Source organism: Homo sapiens, chromosome 15 (genome assembly GCF_000001405.40).
Source record: "Homo sapiens chromosome 15, GRCh38.p14 Primary Assembly".
Classification (NCBI taxonomy): Eukaryota; Metazoa; Chordata; class Mammalia; order Primates; family Hominidae; genus Homo; species Homo sapiens.
The window spans coordinates 63,292,525-63,312,509 of record NC_000015.10 but is presented as its reverse complement, the minus strand read 5'-3'; the positions used below and the strand labels follow the sequence as shown (position 1 = coordinate 63,312,509).

At 42.0% G+C, this 19,985-nt stretch overlaps 1 protein-coding gene across 5 annotated transcripts in view; it reads right to left on the bottom strand.

Moving 5' to 3' along the window:
• Nucleotides 1-3,383: 3,383 nt before the first annotated feature.
• Nucleotides 3,384-19,985, bottom strand: part of APH1B (aph-1B gamma-secretase subunit) — a 31,522-nt gene continuing 14,920 nt past the window's right edge. For 3 of the 5 annotated variants that reach the window (NM_031301.4, NM_001145646.2, XM_024450085.2), the window contains 2 exons: nt 10,038-10,165; nt 3,384-6,896 (listed from right to left, as the gene is read on the bottom strand). In NM_031301.4, the coding sequence (NP_112591.2) occupies nt 6,729-6,896; nt 10,038-10,165 (296 nt within the window). In that variant the 3' untranslated portion in view covers nt 3,384-6,728. Of the gene's footprint in view, nt 6,897-7,840; nt 8,173-9,324; nt 9,787-10,037; nt 10,166-19,985 lie in introns of those variants that run through there. The other 2 variants (XR_007064490.1, XM_011522105.4) reach the window with 2 other exon arrangements.

Here is a 19,985-nt window from a genome sequence, read left to right as displayed (position 1 = left end):
AAATACATCCAGAGTGTTTTCCACAACAAAAGCCTCTCTCCAAGGAAAAAGACTTTACCAAAGCCGTAACCCAGCTGGGGAAAGTTACCTTTCTTCTCCAGCCACCTTCTAGCTTCCTGTCTTATCTAAGGGGGAAAAAGTTAAGAAACTCTCAGCCCAGGGATTCAGGCCCATGAAAATACTGAGATTTAGATTTTATTATTATAATTTTATTATTATACATGTCCCCTCCTCCACATCGCACTGCCATACCAACAGGGCTCTAGTGTTAATTTACAGTGGATTACAGCTGAACGAGTTGCAAGACACAGGCTTTCTCTGAAAAGGGGCACTGAGGGAACTCCACAGTCAAAAGGGGAGACAAAAACAAGACCACCAGAGGAATTCGAAGCCTCTGGCACTAACAGCCACAGCAAACATTAAATATAATCCAACTCCTACCTAGATTAACATAAAATTTACACTCAAGGCTTTTAAAATTCAGTTCCTATTACCCAAGAGGCGATGTCTAGCTTTCAACAAATAATTACAAGGCATATTAAGAGGCAAGAAAAAACAAAGTCTGCAGACATAGAAGGATATGCAGATTTTCTTTTCTTTTTTTTTTTTTTTTTTTGAGACGGAGTTTCACTCTTGTTGCCCAGGCTGCAGTGCAATGGTGTTATCTCAGCTCACCGCAACCTCCGCCTTCTGGGTTCAAGTGATTCTTCTGCCTCAACCTCCCAAGTAGCTGGGATTACAGGTGCCCATCACCACGCCTGGTTTATTTTTTGTATTTTTAGTAGAGATGGGGTTTCACTATGTTGGCCAGGCTGGTTTCAAACTCCTGACCTCAGGTGATCCACCCACCTCGGCCTCTCGAGTGAATTTTGTGGGTTTTTTTAAAAAAGGAATTTGTCCATTTACGTTTTAAAATTTATTGGCATTAAAGTTATCCATACTATCCTTTATTAATTTAATAATGTAGGGCCTATAGTGACGTCTCCTGTCATTACTGATACTTGTGCCTTCTCTTTTTTCCATCTGGCCAGAGCTTTACCAGCTTTATTGGTTTTTTTCAAAGAACCAGATTTTTGTTTCATTTTTCCCCATTGTTTTACTGCTATTTATTTGGTTCCTGTTCTTTTATGATTTCATTTCTTCTCCTTATATTAGCTTTAGTTTGCTCTTCTTTATCGAGTTTCTTAAGTAGAGGCTTAGGTCATTGATTTTGAATATTTTTCCTTACCTAATATAAGCATTTAACGTTAAGAATTTCCCTCTCTTGGCCAGGCACAGTACTCATGCCTGTAATCCCAGCACTTTGGGAGGCTGAGGTGGGCAGATCACTTGAGGCCAAGAGTTCAAGACCAGCCTGGCCAACGTGGTGAAACCCCGTCTCTACTACAAATACAAAAATTAGGTGGGCATGGTGGTGCGCACCTGTAGTCCCAGCTACTCGGGAGGCTGAGGCAGGAGAATCGCTTGAACCTGGAAGGCAGAGGTTGCAGTGAGCTGAGATCATGCCACTGCACCCCAGCTTGGTGACAGAGCGAGATTCTGTCTCAAAAAAAAAAAAATCAAAATAAATAAATAAAAGAATTTCCCTCTCTATTCCCTCTTTCAGGTCTTTGCTTTGGCAACTATCCTATCCCTCTCCTACGTCATTTTTTCCTTTCTATGGAGTCATTCTTATCTTAACATAAACATGCAGTTACAGTTACAGTCTACATCATAAGGAAAAAAAGAAAAAAAAACTCTCTTTCCCCCACATCCTCCTTAGGTTCATCATCCCACTGCTCTACAATACCTGTGTTCTCAATGCTGTGTCTACTTCCTCATCTCCTGTTCCGTACAATCCATTCTATTCAGGTGTTCACTCTGATTTCCATCTTGTTTTTATCAAGATCACCAGCAAGTTCCATCTCTCCATACAAAACAATCAATTCTCTCTCCTCTTCTTACCCATTATCCAGCAGCATTTGACATCCTTTCCCCACTGGCTGTCAAGCCACTGCACTCCTTTGGTTTTCCTTCCTTCTTCTCTCCTTTCCAACCTTTCAATTGACTGCCCCCAGGGTTCAGTCCTCAGCTATCACCTATCTATATCCACTACCCAGTGCCCTTCATCCACTTCTAAATTAAGCATCATCTTAGTAGTCAAGCTATTCTATATTATTCCATAATTTGTAGTGCATTTTGTAGTTGCCTTAAAATAATACTTAGGTGTTTTAATCTGTGCAGTTAGATTATATGTTTTCCAAGGACAAAGATCCCCACCATCTCGTTCTTTTCCATCCTTTTGAAGTGCCTAAGCAGTATTCTGTGCATGGTAAGCCCTGAATAAGCACTGTAAACTTCATCTGATTTTGTGCAAGCTCTAAAAAATGTGTAATTTTACTAGTAGCTAGAAGGATTTACAGCGATCCACACTGAGGCAACAAGTACCACTTATAAATTAATTGAGCATTAAAGCCAGGATCTGCTTGGGACTCATAATCTATTATGGTCACCTTACAATGTATCTAATTCTTCTATTGAGACTGGGACCACAACCTGTCCAGAGGTTCCTTCTATTCAGCATTTTCAAAGAGGTGAAAGTAAAATATGCACTTCTTTCCATTAGAGGTTTCTCATGTGTTGAGGCTGGTCATAGGGAAATCTCCATTCCAACTAAATGCCAAACAAGTAACAATTAAATTAGAACCAAAATTCAGTGTTTAAGGGCCAATGAAATTGTACAGGAATCTGGGCTGATACCTGAGGAATGCCCACCTCTTCCACTGGTTTACAGGTTAGAAGCAAAGAGCCCTTGGGACCTGAGAACGTTTCATCCAATAACGTCATCAACATAGCCTGCAACAGCCTCATTTCAAGCCAGAGTGAACAAGCATCAAATGGTTTTGAGTATCGTATCATAATCCCCTATGTATCCTGTCTGATGGCAAGGGCCAAGCTCAACCCTTTAGCTGCACTGTCTCCTCACCAAGGGAAAGAAAGAGAAAAGGACTCTATAGGCTACTCAGAATCACCAGGTAAAAGCTAAATTGTACTCTCCTCTTCACCGGACTCCAATCCTTAGCCACTATTATACAAACATTCTTTAAATTCACCATTTTACAATTAGGAGATTTTGCAAAGCAAGCTTCCAGGATCTTTGAGGATTCCCCCGGCTTGGTTTAAGATACCTCAAGGAAATGCTCTGAACCAAACTACTCCTAAACACACAGATATGAAATAAGCCTTAGGAGTTTTAAATCAGATAAAGAATTTCTCTTTGAAAAAAGTCTCTGAACTGATCAGTCATAAACAACAGAATGTACATCCAAGTTTCATAAGGAGACAAAACACGGTAGTAACATACTGAAGGATACACCATTCCACAGAACAGGAAACACAGGAAATGAGGAGTGCCAGACAATCTTTTTATTGTTCACTGAAAAATGCAGGTCTGCAAAGAGTCAATTGCATTGTATATTGAATGCAAGGTCTGATATTGCAAGTATATATGACATGGTATAACATATAAAATATTACATATTTTACACAGTGACAGTACCCGCCTCTTCTAAACACTAAAATTTAATAGAATGAAGTAAAAAGCCTATTAAATAAGAAACAAACACTGCAATCATAAACAAAATGCACTAAGCAAAATACTTTAAAATTGTTGTGTGTGACATCTATCTTGTCTACCTGGAGTTAGGAATGGTGGAGCCCAGAAAAAAACTGAGCTAACAAAAACAGCCAACACCCTCCAGGAACTCTTCCCTGGAATCAGGCCGCTGGTGCCCGTCACAGGCTGCCCCCATCTGATGACCCAGCCAGGCTTCAGGGCTGCCTGAGGGCCCACACTGAATGCTAACGCCTGTCTGGGGCTGGGCTGAGGTGAATGGGAGGAGTACCAGGTAGGAAGAAGCTTCTCTCCCAACTGCTTATTCTGCATCCATGCTATGGATATGAACACCTAGTGTTTCTGGTGTGAATCTGCCACTCTCCACAAACATTGAAATGTGATTGAGAAGAAAATGTTAACGCTGGGAACAAAAGCCATTTTCTACGCAGTCTGCAGATATCATCATTAATTCCTTTCATCCATGTTTTCATTAAGATGCTCTAAAAGAGGCTGCTGCTATTATACAGCCAGTCAGGCAAGCCAGGATAGAGGTAACAAAATTTCTCCAGTTATAACTAGTAATTCAAATGAATCAAAAATAAATATAGCTTATACTAGAGAGCAACACAGTCTCTATTATTCACATGGTAATATATTCAAGAATTGCAACAATATTCACAATTCTCTAAGGTCAACATATTTCCCTCCAAGCAGAAAATCCTGAATGGAAGGGAGTGTATAACATCAATAACTCCTGTTTGTCTCACATAATATCAGGGCTCAGAAAGCTCATTATAGATAACAAATGCAAAATAAAAAAAAAAAAGCATTTCAATATATGTACAGCAACAGAGGAAGACTAGGCCCTCCCTCTGGGCCTCCTTGGCATAAGGCAAAGCATGGCTATTTGCGACAACAGTGTCTAAGCTGACTCTGGAAAGGCTCATGTTTTACGATAAATCAGAATTACAAAGTTCCTTCATTCACAGGTAACAAAGGATTATTAAATAATTTCCTGAACTAAGACAACAGTCTCACCATCAAAGAAAATTTTCTTCTCATCTGAGTTTTTATAAATGAGATTTTACAATACCCAGCTTTTTTAGTTAATATGAAACCATCGGCGTACAGAGAACATCCTCAAAGCTCAAGATGAGTAAAGCTAATATTCTCAGACTTTCCACACTCTACAGAGCAGCAAATATTTTATCAGAATATCCATTTAACACAGTTTTAAGTCCATAATAACCAACTATGTATTTTTCTTATTCAAAGAAGACCATGTTTTGATAAGAATAATCCCAGTTTGATGAGTATCCTATTCCCCTTGATGTTGTACAATAAATGTCACTGTTGAGTCTCTATATCCTTGACTCTTCCAGTCAAAGGAAAATCCTGTATAAAGCTGGAAAACTGCAAACTCCAGCGGAAGCACTAGTGTTAGTGCTGAAGTAAACTTTAGGGGAATAACCACAGTCGCTTATCAGACTGTTTACAGCATTGATAGAAGCCCTCCTCTTCTTTTATCTCTATTATCTCTATTTTATCTCTAAACATTCTAATATTTTAAACATGGGGGTTCACTGATATCGATAAAGGTCTAGTTCATGAGTAAGGTTTTGGTCTCTGGAATGATGTGTGGCTAGCCCAAAACACTGGCTATGTTAGCTTTAAACATGATCATTCTTCTTCCCACCACAATCTGTCAAACCCGCCCATCCGTCCTGCCACTGTCACTCCCCCAGCCCCTCAGGATTGCTGCTCCTCTCTTCTGAATGTTCTACTGCATGTATGGTATTCACTGAGACATCACTTTAATGTATAGGTCATTTGCATTTCATGCCACCAGCTCCCCAAAAGACATCAACTGGGAACAATTTCTAATAGTAAAGGCACGATTTGCCAGAATTTTCCCTTTATAAAGGAAATCAAAGGACCTGTCTGGAAGCTGAAAGAACACCTTGGGTATTCCTGTAAAGGGAACGCTGTATCTGCTACCAAAACCCAGAGACACTGACTAGATCTAAAGAGCATATGGATTATGCAATAGTGTGAGATTTGGCAGTTTAAGATCTATTTCCAATATTACATTAAGCCATTTGGGTGAAAGTGTTGTTAGTATCACAGGAGCAAATGAAAAGTGTCAATGACACCCTTTTGGCTCATTTCCTTGTGCTTCTGGTTATACTTCCACCAGCTCCAGTGAAGCCTGTCCCAGGGCACATCACTCAGCTCCCCGCACAGCTGCTCAGAGAGAAAACAATGCACTTCACCTCAACTAGTCCAGCAACTGGCACTCAGATGGTGAACGCTGCAGCCAACGGCCTTGGGGCAGAGCCCATGGAAAGCTTTAAACAGGCTTATAGACATTGCATAAAAATTCCTGATTTTAAAATACCTTCCCAAGGAAGTCACAAAACAATCATTTTTAGTTAATAAAATGTAATCTATACTCAAAAACAATGTAATGCCTCAGAAAGCAAAACCTGGAATGGAAGCACTTCAGAAAAATACGGCTTAATCAGTATCTTACTTTGGCTAAGTTACCACAGTCAGCGTAATTTATTATTGCATTTAGAAGCCCAACCTACCGTGTTCTCCTAAGATGGTGAAGTACACGCAAACAGTGAGCAGGGGTGATAGCCCTTTAGCCTTTTGTGACTTCAGAACTTAGGAAGATAAAAGATAACCAGGATTTGACATTCAGATACTTACTTGCTCAGCACGAGTTGAGTTAGGAGACAGCTAAAGACCAGATTCTCATCCACTTAAGGTGTTCTCAGGAAGCTCCTATTTGGATACCAAACCAGTGGGTCTCAACATGGCTGCACATCAGAATCACCTGGGAAGCTTTTAAAACTCACCACGTGCCCAGGCCAATTAGCTCTGGAAGGTGGAGCCCAGAATCAGTCGGCTTTACACTGTCCCAGGTGATTCTCGTGCAGCCAGGACGCACACCACTGAGCACCCCTTTCGGAGAGCAGTTGTGTGAAAGCCAAGTGAATGGAACGCATATCTGCATAGTTTTATTTCTTTCTCAATTCCACCAGAAAAAGGGATTTTCAGAAAAAGGCACAGTTGTGCTTCCTCTAAAGATGTAGTCTGCGGTTTGGGAAGTGCTGGTTCCCTGAGGTTATCTGGAGCGCTGGTTGTAAAGAAGAAAGTTCTTGTCTTGGCAGAGCAGGCAGAGTTTCAGGCTTCGGCAGCTGCCTCCCGCAGCTAAGAATGCCCAGGTGCCCATGAGCACCAGGATTATAAATGCTGACGCCAGGTTTATTCCATAATAAGAACTTATGAAGGTCTGCAAAAGAAAAATAAATCAGCTTGGGTAATAACAGCAAGCTTATTAAACATGTGGAATAACCAAAGATAAAGGGAAGCATGGAATACTTTCAAGAACTTGGGTGTGTTTCACCAAACGTATGATGTGTGTCATGCGTTAAGGCCCTGAGGCATGTAGAACTAAGCTGGTCAGCAGATACTGTGGGTCCCGTGTTTTGCTGTATTCAGATGGTAACCCTAGAAGGCAGTCATTAGGCAGAACCTAATGGAATATACAATACAAGATGCATGTCGTGTAACTAGTTTCTATTCATTTCTGTGTTAAATTGGTTCTTAGAATTTGCAAGAAAGTGAGACAACTCCAAATTACTTTAGTATGAATCCTTAGTACTCAAGGGAACATGAGGGAATAGTCTTTTTCAGTTGCACAATTGCTGTGGGTTCCAAAAGTGTATTCATTTAAAGAACACTAATGGAATGCTGAGAGGTACTGTGTACACCTTGGTGAGACCAAAGTTTCTATCCTAATGGAGGTTCTGTACTAGTAAGGGAGGCAGGTAATGAATGAAGAAACAATTAGTCACAAATTGTGATGAATGCTAGGACAGCATAATTATAATTGCGATGAGGCTAGGATGGGTAAAAACAAGGTGATCTCCTTAGGGCTGTCAAAGAAGGCCTGAAGAAAGTGGTAGATTTTACAGGTAGCACCTTATGCAGAAAGACTGCTCTTCTCAAGAGGCCTCCGTGGGCATGGCAGGCATTGAGCATTTTCTAGATTATTCTTCACAATAATTCTATACCTCAAATCCACTGAATTTTAACTCATTTTACAGAGTGCTGCACTGTTTTGTATTGTTCTTCTCTTCTTTAAAAAACATTTTTCCTCTTTTAAACAATTACAAAAGCAATACATGATTGTTGTAGAAAATTACAACCCAAAAATGAGAAAAATAGAACAAATTTTAAAACTTAAAATTCAGCTAGGTTAATATTTATTAAAAAGCTCAAAAAGTGAAACCATAAAGAGAAAAACTGATCAGACTATATAAAATTAAGAACTTTTGTTCACCGAAAGACATTAAGAGAATGTAAAGACAAACCATGCCACAGAAGTTATCTGCAATACATACATCTGACAAAAGATTTTTTCTTTTACAGAAAACATAAAGAACTCCTAAAAATCAAAAAGAAAATAGGCATAAGATTTGAACAGGCACTTCAAAAAGAATTATCCGAATGGCCAATAAACATCTGAAGACTTGCTCAACCTTATTTTCCCAGCATGAACACACCTGTGTAACTAGCACCTAGATGAAAATCAAAACATTCTCAGCCCCCAGGAGCCTCCCTGTTCCACCAGTCCCTGCCCCCACTGAGGGTGACCATGACGCTGGCTTCAACACCACAGCCTGGTGCTGCCTTTTGGTATTTCTGTCAACGGAGCCACACAACATGGGGCTCAACCTATTAATCATCAGGGAAACGTAAATGAAAACTTTTACTATAATTTATCAATTTATGTATTTATGATACCATGACATAGCCAGCAGGACGACTAACAATAAAGAGAATGCAGTGAGGAGGTGGACGAACCACAACTTGTAAACTGATGGCAGAGTGTAAGGTGATACCATCACTCTGAAAATTGAGTGGTATGAACAGTCGACACATGTACACCCCATGACCCAGCAGTCCCACTCCTAGGCGTATACCCAAAAGAAGTGTGTGTGTGTGTGTGTGTGTGTGTGTGTGTGTTGTGTGTGTGTGTGTGTGTTCACCAAGAGATATACATTAGAACGTTCACAGCAGTACCATTCACAATAGATAAGAATGAGAAAGCCAGGGGTGGTGGCTCATGCCTGTAATCCCAACACTTTGAGGGGCTGAGAGAGGAGGATCGCTTGAGCCCAGGAGTTCGAAGCCAGCCGGAGCAACATAGAGCTCATCTCTACAAAAAAATTTAAAAGTTAGCCAGGCATGACGGCGCATGCCCATAGTCCCAGCTACTTGGAAGGGTGTGGTGGGAGAATCACTTGAGCCCAGGAGGTCGAGGCTGCAATGAGCCGTGATCGTGCCACCGCACTCCAGCCTGGGCAACAGGGCAAGACTCCATCTCAAACTAGAAACAACATCAATGCCTCTCTGCTGTCAAATGGGTAAATTATGGTATAGACACATGGTAGAATACTATACAGCAATGAGTGAGCCATCTATAGTGATGTGAAGATGAATCCCACAAACATGCTGAGCAATAGGAGCCAGACACAAGAGCAAACGTTGTGTGACTCTGTTGACAGAAATACCAAAAGGCAGCACCAAGCTGTGGTGTTGAAGCCAGCGTCATGGTCACCCTCAGTGGGGGCAGTGACTGGTCGAACAGGGAGGCTCCTGGGGGCTGAGAATGTTTTGATTTTCATCTAGGTGCTAGTTACACAGGTGTGTTCACACTGTGAAAATTCATCAAGATGTACATTTCTGATTTGTGTGCTTTTCTGTAGGTGTGTTATTTTAATAAAACAATTATGTAATCATTCTCTGAAATCTGCCACTGACAGAGAACTACTATGAACATTTTGGTATATACTTTTCAAACTTCCTAGGTTCTTTCCTTTTAATCATTAAAAAGAATAGTATCAACTATTCAATATACACCAACATTTACTGGCCACCTACTATGTGCCATGAATTGAGGATACGAAGATTGAAGATAAGGCCCCATCCTTGATTATCATACTCTAATTAGAAACAGAGAGAGAGAGATAAAAACTATATTAAATAAAATATGCTAGCCAAGGACACATGTGTTATACGAGAGCTAGGAATAAGGTCCAGTCATGGTGCCGAGTCTGGAATACGCAACTTTTCCACGCAGCTGTCACAGAGAATGAACAGTTTTCCAAACTGACCTAGGTTAGAGAGAGACAAATCACTGCAAATAAACAGCAGGGAAAAAAATATTTCAATAAGACACACCAAAAAATTAATAGTGGTGGTCTTTTTGTGGTAAGACTTACATGACTCATTCATTCACTTAAATAGCTTTTCTGAATTTCCTCATGTTCTCATGAGCGTGTATTTCATCTAGAGTAGAATTTACCATTTTAGATACATAGACTTGAGTTCCAGAATACAGTCTGAGCATGGCGGCAACACTCACCTGGGCTGACACCAGCAGGTGGGTCAGGAGAACGATAAGGAGGATGCCCCACTTTTTCTTCTCACAGCCATCAAAAAATACAATGCCCCAGAATACATGCAGCAAGATAATGACCAGCGTCATGAAAGCTGAAAGAGAGCCGACCATTAGTGTCACTCCTACAGGTATCAGAACCACTGAGGACCCTGGCACTGTGCACGGGCTCTCGGGGTGTCCACCACACCTCAGCAAGAGAGTTTAACACCACCTGACAGAAACAGGGCCTTGACACACTCAAAAAGCAACACTGCGGAACAGGGGACTGACTGCCACAGCTTCTTGTCTAGAATGTAAACCTGTTCAATAAAAGGTCGCCTAAGATCTGGCTTTCAGGCAGCTTCCCTGAGGAATACAATAAAATTACTGTGATGTCCAGCCAGCTTTTTCCCAGTGAGCCTTCTGCACGAGTAAAGAGAGACTTCAATGAAAAGGAGTATCTTCTGTTTAAACAAGGCTCCTCACTAAAGTGGAATTTTTCCTCGGATCCTTTTGAAAAAGAGCAATGGAAAAATATTAAAATCATGGCCAGGCGCTCTGGCTCATGCCTGTAATCCCAGCACTTTGGGAGGCCGAGGCAGGCAGATCACTTGAGTCAGGAGTTTGAGACCAGCTGGCCAACATGGTGAAACCCCAGCTCTACTAAAAATACAAAAATTAGCCAGGCATGGTGGCACATGCCTGTAATCCCAACTATTCGGGAGGCACATGCCTGTAATCCCAACTATTCGGGAGGCTCAGGCAGGAGAATTACTTGAACCCGGGAGGCGGAAGTTGCAGTGAGCTGAGATCATGCCACTGTACTCCAGCCTCGGCAACAGAGCAAAAAAAAAAAAGAAGAAGAAGAAAGAAAAGAAAAATATTTAAAATCACAGTAATTATCTACAATGCTTCTTAGGCAACTGGCACTGAATTTGATCAGCACCACCAGGTTTTTTCTGGGGAACACTACCTCTGTGTGTATGTTGTCTGTGTATCTTGTGTACTGGTTAACAGTCTTTATTTAAAGTGGGCAAGCCCTATATATTCTGCAAAGGTTAACATGGAAAATAAAAAGGCATCTAGATTTCCTCTTTCAGCCACATAATAAGAAATCATTAACACCCACCAGACTGGCAAAAATTCAAGTCTGACAACTCTCTTTCATACTGCTGATAGGAAAACAGTCTAGCATTACAAATTAAAGAGGAATTTGCATTCTCTATTTCACTCCAGCAATTCTGCAGCTAGAGCTAGACTCTGAAGCAATTAGTTCTGAAATTAATAGATCACTGCACCTGGGAACTTGTTAGAACTCCAAATTATGGGGACCCACCCCGCACTTCCTGAATCAGAAACAATGGGGTGGGAGCCCAGCAATCCGTGTTTAAACAGCCCTCCAGGTGATTCTGAGGCACGGTCAAGTTTCAGAGCCATTGCTCTAGAGAAACGTACACATCTGCACAAGGAGCATATATAAGTTTAAGTCAGCACTGTCTGTAATAATGAAATATGTCCATCATTACCAGAATGGATAAATAAATCCTGCTCTATTCACACAATGGAATACTATATGGTCTACGATATAAATTATCTCAAGAATCTAATGTTATGTAGAAAAGAAAACCGTATCGTGAAAAAATGCGTATTATTTCATTGATATGAATTCTAAAACATGCAAAACTAAAAGACGTAACTGTTGTGATGAAAGAAAGCTGTTATATCTGGTGTAAACGTGTAATTATTTCAGTAAACGGTGGTAGATATTTTAACTAAATTAGAAGAGAAACAGTTTCCAAAGTTTTGACGCTATGGCAGATGAAGCTAAAGTGATGTATTTTAACCCCGGTGATGACCCCGGAAAAGGAGGCCTCCCTGGAGAGAGATGCTTGGTGACGGCGGGGAGCTGAGACCGCTGAAGATGCCCAGGAGTGCAGTTTAAGTTTTAAAGTTTTTGTGTCAGAAAAGATCAAGACAGAAACTGACACAAATGGAAACACTGATTTTTTAAAGAAATCATAAGGTGTTCATTTTCTAAGGGTTTTTCAGAATCTAGATGACAATCAAATGTCAAGAGAAAGCAATGACACCATTAAGGTGTCATCTGTTTGGCAGCTTATGTTTGCCATTCTTTCTGAATATTGATGTTACCAGGGCAGCCCTGATGAAATAACCGGGAAAGGTCCTTAGTTCTTGTTTTTGTTTTTTTTTAACTGTTTTTCTTTAGTTCCTTTATCAATAGGCACAGCTGCTTAAAGAAACCAGATGGCTCGAGATGGCACCAGAGCTTCTTGACCCCTGACCAGATACCAGAGGAAGACCTCGCAAAACCAGCACAAACTGGAATAGGTGACTCCTATTTGCATTTAGATCATCAGCATATCTTTACAATGCTAAAACTCCCTCCCCTGAAAGAAAATCCCTGCCATTTCATGCACATATAATATATGAAGGCATATGTTCATGGATAGCACCTTCACGTCTGGAGTCCCATCCCATACATGCTCACATTCCTTTCCCGCCCCACACCTAGTCCCCCTATGCCTTCTACTGCTTGGGGAGAAAGTACATTTAGCACAAGAGCTCACCTTCTCCGTTTTCTGGCCAGGGAATAAAACCCGATTGCCTTTTCCAATTGGATGTTCTTTCTTTGCGACCAATACTGAGTGGGGAAAGAAGTGTTTACCAGGGACACTGAGACACAATTATGCTCCTATAGTCAAGGCCTACAGTTCATTTAAAAATGCTCTCAGGGGCTGGGCGCGATGGCTCACACCTGTAATCCCAGCACTTTGGGAGGCCGAGGCAGGAGTATCACGAGGTCAGGAGATCGAGACCATCCTGGCTAACACGGTAAAACCCCGTCTGTACTAAAAATACAAAAAATTAGCCGGGCGTGGTGGAGGGCACCTGTAGTCCCAGCTGCTCGGGAGGCTGAGGCAGGAGAATGGCGTGAACCTGGGAGGCGGAGCTTGCAGTGAGCCGAGATAGTGCCACTGCACTCCAGCCTGGGTGACAGAGCAAGACTCCATCTCAAAAACAAAACAAAACAAAAACAAAACAACAAAAATTCTCTCATTTACAGGAGTTTCAGTCTCCTCTTGTCCAAAAGAGCATTACTGTGAGTTTTAGGCAAGCATCCTCAAGACATCATTAGCCCTGACTTTCTTCCAAATTCTAGGTCCATATTTCTTGGTCCTTCTTACTAAGAAGTCTGATGGATTGACTTTGCCTCCAAAGTCAAGTCCATACACCTCAGACTAGCATTCAAGGACCTCTACAATCTACACCCCAATTACCTTGACACCATGTTCTCTACTATCTTCAACTGCATCCTATGGAAGAAAACCAGAACTCTTCTTCACTCTGTCTATACCTCTGGTTTTCTTTTTTCTTTTTAAATAGATTATCCCTTTTGTCTGAAGACTCTGCCCCTCAGCACCACCCCTCTCCATTTCACCACATCCGAATCTTACTTTTATTTACAATCCAGTTCAAATGCCACCTCTCCTCCGTAAATTATTTCCTAACACCTACCCTCCTCCTTTTTTTTTTTTTTTACATTCAACACAATCTACTGAGCACCTAGACAGCCTGGCCTGAAGATTATATATATTATCTTTAGAGTCAGATGGTTCTGAGTTAGAATCCCAGCTCCACTGCGTGGCTTTGGACAAGCTATTTAAACTCTCTGAGCTTCCATTTCCTTTATTTTTAAAATGGGGATAATACCACATAGGGCTGTTACAAGGAAAAACAGTGCTTGGCAATCCATATCTTTTTAATATGTGGTAGCTACCGTGTGCTATGGTCTACAGATTCAAAGACAAATAAGCCAGAGTTCTCAGTGAGTTGTACTATCAGGTGAGAAAGTGAGACAGCAGCCAGCAATGACCATTTATATCCAAGTCTCCTGGGTACTTGACTATGTCTTAAAAATGCATTCCTGGCCAGGCACAGTGGCTTACTCCTATAATCCCAGCACCTGGGAGGCTGAGGTGGGTGGACCACTTGAGCCCAGGAGTTCGAAACCAGCTTAGGCAACATAAGAAAACCCTGTCTCTACAACAAATACAAAAATTAGCCAGGCGTGGCAGTGTGCAGCTGTAGTTTCAGCTACTCAGGAGGCTGACGTGGGAGGATTACCTGAGGCCAGGGAGGTTGAGGCTACACGAGCCATCATCACACCACTGCACTCCAGCCTGGGTGACAGAGCTAGACCCTGTCTCAAAAAAATAAATAAAAAATAAAAACAAAAATGCATTTCTCTTCATTCTTGTAGATTATTTCTTCCTCTGACTTTGTATTACTCTTACATTTATTTTCTTCCTCCCCTCTTTCATCAACCCACATAACAAGTATGTCTGCAGTGGCCAGCATGGGCCAGGCACTTTCTAGCCACTGGGACTATTACAACACATGAAACACAGTCTCATAGAACCTTTCCCCATCCTTTCAGTTTACCATTTTATTAACACAATATCTAGAAGAGATCCCTTGGACATGTATTAAAATACCGTGCTATGTTCATACTCGGCTCATTTATGCAGTCAGCTCTCGTTTCCGGGTGGCTTTGATGGTCATCACAGCCTTCACTATCACGACGTGCTATGTTAGAATGCCGGGATTTACTCTTTCCTCCCTCTGCAGTTGGTTAAGAGGTCCAACAGAAACAGACCCGGATATCTGCATCATTCTGCCACACACACGTGGCTACAGCTACATACATCCTATTTAAACCCTTCTCATTAGTAAAAGGAACAAATTCCAGCTAGTAATGAAAATTTGCTAATAGTATCTCTAGAGTACAACCTTTTAATTACTAAACCTTTCTCAGTTAATGTTCCTAAATATAAAATTCTAAAAGTCCTTCAGTAAATCTAACCCCCAAATTTGCTTTGTTCTAATATTCTTTTTTTTCTTTTCTGAGACAGGTTCTCAACTCTGTCACCCAGACTGGAGTGCAATGGTGCGATCATGGCTCACTATAGCCTCCACCTCCTGGGGCTCAGGTAATTCTCCCACCTCAGCCTCCTGAGTAGCTGGGACTACAGGTGTGCACCACCAGGCCCGACTAATTTTTTTCTGTTTTAAGTGGAGACAGGGTTTTGTCATGTTGCCCAGGCTGGTCTCAAACTCCTGGGAGTTCAGGCAATCTGCCCACCTCAGCTTCCCAAAGTGCTGGAATCACAGGCTTGAGCCATAATGCCCAGCCTGTTCTAATATTCTTAAGCCAAAAAAACTTCCCTAAGTTAACCATAAGAATATCAACGTTAGTTTATAACCCAGATTAATAAAAGGAGCTTCCATAATTTTTATATGTTGTAATACATTAATCAGAAAGCGGAATAATTCTAACAAGTACTGTATATCAGTTTGTGACGACTGTAACTGTCTAGTCGATAATGGACTTCCTCTTCTAATAAACTTCTAAGTCAAAGTATCTTGGTAGTGAATATTTCTAACCTATTTCTAAGCAAAACGTTTCAGTGTTATCTTCAAGAAACAACATTTACAGCCGGGCGGGGTGGCTCACGCCTGGGAGGCCAAGGCAGGAAGATCACCAGGTCAGGAGATCAAGACCATCCTGGCCTACATGGTGAAACCCCATCTCTCCTAAAAAATACAAAAAATTAGCCAGGCATGGTGGCACACACCTGTAGTCCCAGCTACTCGGGAGGCTGAGGCAGGAGAATCGCTCGAACCCAGGAGGCAGAGGTTGCAGTGAGCCAAGATGGCACCACTGCATTCCAGCCTGGGCGACAGAGCAAGACTCCGTCTCAAAAAAAAAAAAAAAAAGAAACAACATTTACTATTTGGCTCCTTCACCCTTCCTGAATATACCCCAAATGCTCTAACACACAGATTCATAAGCACCTTCATTTTCACACGTGTTCCTTTCCCTCATTCCCGATGCCTATTTTTCTGTCCTTGCAAAGCTAATGGCCTAAGACAGCAATTGCGTCTAATACTGGCTTCCTGCCAGCACAGAAACTGCCATCACCTAGCTTCCCCTAACACGGGCAGGGTATCTCTAACTAAGTCAGAGCAAGCCAAAGGCTGCTGCTGGGTGGTGGCAGCCACAGACAAAGGAGGACTTCCCAAGGCCAAAGCTCAGCCGCAGCTGCCCAGAGGCAGGATGTGAAGATCAATGGGCTTTTGGCTTCTTTTTCTAAGTAGTAGAAAGGTCAGGGGTTTCAGGGTTCCATGAAGCAGGAGACACTCCTCCATCCATCCTGGCCGTAGAAACTCTCCAGACTCTTGAGAGATCCCCCAGTCAGCTGGCACAAGTGGGAGTCGGGCCCCAGAGCTGAATGAATGCTTTTGAAAATGACTTTCTCTAATGGGGATTTAACTTAACATTTTTGTTTTAAAGAATGTAAGAGAATTCTGCGGCCTGATTTACTGTAATATAGATATAGATTGCTAATCAAATAACCTTCTCTAAGACATTATTTTAATGTTTAAAGTCCCCCTAGAAAATGCTGAAGAATTATGAAACACTCTCCTCAAATTAGCTCATCACTGTGGAGTCAGCATTGGGAGGTTTGCTAGAAGTTGTCTGATCCCGTCCTCTACACAATGAAGATAACCCACATGGTCCAAAATACTTCCAATTTCATTTCATTAAATGGCCACTATGAGAAAGTTCCTTCTCAAACCGAACCCAAATCTGCCTTCTTTTAACTCAGTAGTGATTTTCAGCTGGGATGATTTGGCCCATAGAGGGAATATGTCAATGTCTGTAGACATTTTGGGTTATCACAACTGGGGGACAGGGGTGCTTCTGGCATCTAGTGGACAGAGGCCAGGGGTGCTGTTAAACACCCCATAACACACATGTCAGCCCCCAACCAAGAATCATCTGGCCCCAGGTGTCAATAGTGGTGAGGTTGAGAAACCCTGCTCTAACTCCTGCTCACTGATCCTGAGAAGGCTCTTTGAAGAACCACAAGTCAACTCTTTTTTTCTATATGTAGCACATTAAAAAACATTTGAAACTCCCTGCAGCAACCAGCTACTGTCACAAAAATGCTGCAAAACAAAACAAAACAAAAAACAGGCCTAAACTCACTGGCTAGAGCTGCCATTGGGATCATGAGGCCCAAGGCAGCCTGGAGTACAATCCCCTAATGGGGGACCTGCCTTCAGGCAGCGGGCAATGGATACAGGTTCTCGGGATTCTATTACTTTCTATTAATGCTTCACTGACTTCACAAAACTAATTAATTTCTATGTTTGTCTCTAGCCTAGAATAGTTTCAGCAAAATCAGATTTACCATTTCTTTAAATGTTTGCTCCAAACAAGCTCTCAAACCTGATCTATGCCATTTATAAAGCAAAGCTAAGCCCATAAGACCTTGGATGAAGATTTAGATGGAAATTGCAGGTAAGGTTTACAGTTGGAATGGATGTAAGTTATGGGAGAAAAAGGGAAGAATCAGGAAATATTCTAAGAAATAACTGAGCACCTGGAAGGATGGAATTCCATTAACTGAGATGAGGAAGGGTGCAGGAGTGCACCATTTTAAAGACCTTGTTCCACTGCCTTCCAGAATTTCTGATAAGAAGTCAGCAGTATTTAAAATTGTTGTCCACTGAATGTAGGGAGAAAGCCTCACTAGAGATGAAAATGTAGCTTACCACCCGAAACAAAGGACTTTGATCTCACGAAAAATATTCAAGTATAAGTCTTTGGTGAGGGTTTCGAATAACTATAAAAGGCAGTAAAATCCAATAAATCCACCCATTAAAGTAAACCTCAAAGCTGATTAATTCCTCCAAAGAAACAAGAGATTTCCAAACATTTATGCAAATAAGTTTGTTTCCAGGAAATAGTGTTGGAACACTGCACAGTAAGTGAAACATGTTACAGTATGAACCATTCCCCTAAAAGTGGGAAGTGGGGCAATGCAGGAACCCTGACGTGAACCTTACGACTGTCTTTAGCAGAGCTGTGGAAAGGGGGAAAAGTGAACTGGTACAAGTGGTCCCAGCACTGAAGAACATCTTTGGTAAGAAGTGGGCATGGAGGAGGTTGATAAATGCTGGGATTCCCAGGCCAAATTCCCAACATGGCCATGGAGCTGCATGGGATCAAGCTGAGAGGTTGCCGGGGGGCGGGGCTAGACTGAGCAATAAAGTTGGAAATAGTGGGATTTTTTTTCCCTTTCAAATGATAAATATTAGATGTAATTAATAAAATATGTATTCCTATGGGGCTGAGTGAAGAGTGATACCATACTGGATGATGTTTTAAAAATGGGACTTTTGTCTCATGCAATCATATCTACAGGACAGTAACCTGTAATATGGTATCCTGCTCACTGTGGCTACAAAAAAAAAAATGTCTGTGAAATTCACTGAAGAAAAAGAAACAAAACCCCCAAAACACCGAAAATTAAAAGCAGCAGTGGCTAGGTACAGCATTTCAGGAGGTTGAGGCAGGAGAATCACTTGAGCCCAGGAGTTCAAGACCAGCCTGGACAACATAGTGAGACCCCATCTCTACAGGAAAAAAAAAAAAATTAGCTGAGTTTAGTGGCATGTGCCTGTGGTCCCAGCTACTTGAGGCTGAAGTGGCAGGATTGTTTGAGTCTCAGAGGTCAAGGATGCAGTGAGCCATGATCACACCACTCCACTCCAGCCTAGGTGACAGAGCAAGACCCTGTCTCAAAACATAAACAAATAGGCCACACTTTGGAAGGCCAAAGCGGGCAGATGACGAGGTCAGGAGTTCGAGAAAAACCTGACCAACATAGCGAAGCCCTGTCTCTCCTAAAAATACAAAAATCAGCTGCGCAGGGTGGCGCACTCCTGTAATCCCAGCTACTCAGAAGGCTGAGGCAGGAGAATCGCTTGAACCTGGAAGGCGGAGGTTGCAGTGAGCCAAGATCGTGCCACTGCACTCCAGCCTGGGCAACAGAGCAAGACTCTGTCTCAAGAAAAAAAAAAAAAAGAAGAAGAAGAAGAAAAACACACAAAAAAACAGGCCAGGTGCGGTGGCTTACGCCTGTAATCCCAGCAATCTGGGCGGCTGAGGCAGGCAGATCACCTGAGGTCAGGAGTTCAAGAACAGCCTGGCCTACATGGTGAAACCCCCATCTCTACTAAAAATACAAAAAATTAGCCAGGCGTGGTGGCAGGCGCCTGTAGTCCCAGCTACTGGGGAGGGTGAGGCAGGAGAATGGCATGAACCCGAGAGGCAGAGCTTGCAGTGAGCCGAGACCGCACCACTGCACTCCAGCCTGGGCAACAGAGTAAGACTCGGTCTCAGTAAAAAAAAAAAGAAAAGTAAAATAAAATAAAATAAATAACTAAAAATAAAGGCAGCAGTGGCTGACGAAAATAAGGACAATTTTACCCATGAGAAGAAACAAGGTCTATAGAGAATGGAGAAGTGCAAGTCATTCAACTGCGCCGAAAGGTAGTCAGCAGAGCCTAGCCATTCATCCGTGTGAGGAAAGAGACATCAGTGATTCAGTGTGGCCTGAAACATACCTAGAAGAGCCATCAAGTCTTACAGCCGCAGCCCATGTCATTCTTTCAGCTAGAGACTGTGAAGCAATACACTGAGCTGCCTGCTTACACACTGCCTGAAGACTGATGCCTGTGATGTGTGCATTTCATAATGTATCACAAGCTACTAGAGACTATGATAGGTCATATCCATTTAATGAAAGTGCATTCCAAAAAGTACAATTTTCTATTCTCAGTTATTTGAGCAGCTGGAAAGAAAGGCTTACACTATTGATATAAAGAAAACAAGCCAGGCGTGGTGGCTCACACCCTATAATCCCAGCACTTTGGGAGGCTGAGGCAGGAGGATTGCTTGAGGCCAGGAGTTTGGGACTAGCCCGGGCAACATAAGGAGACCCCCATCTCCACAAAAAATACAAAAATTAGCTGGGCATAGCAGCACATGCCTGTGGT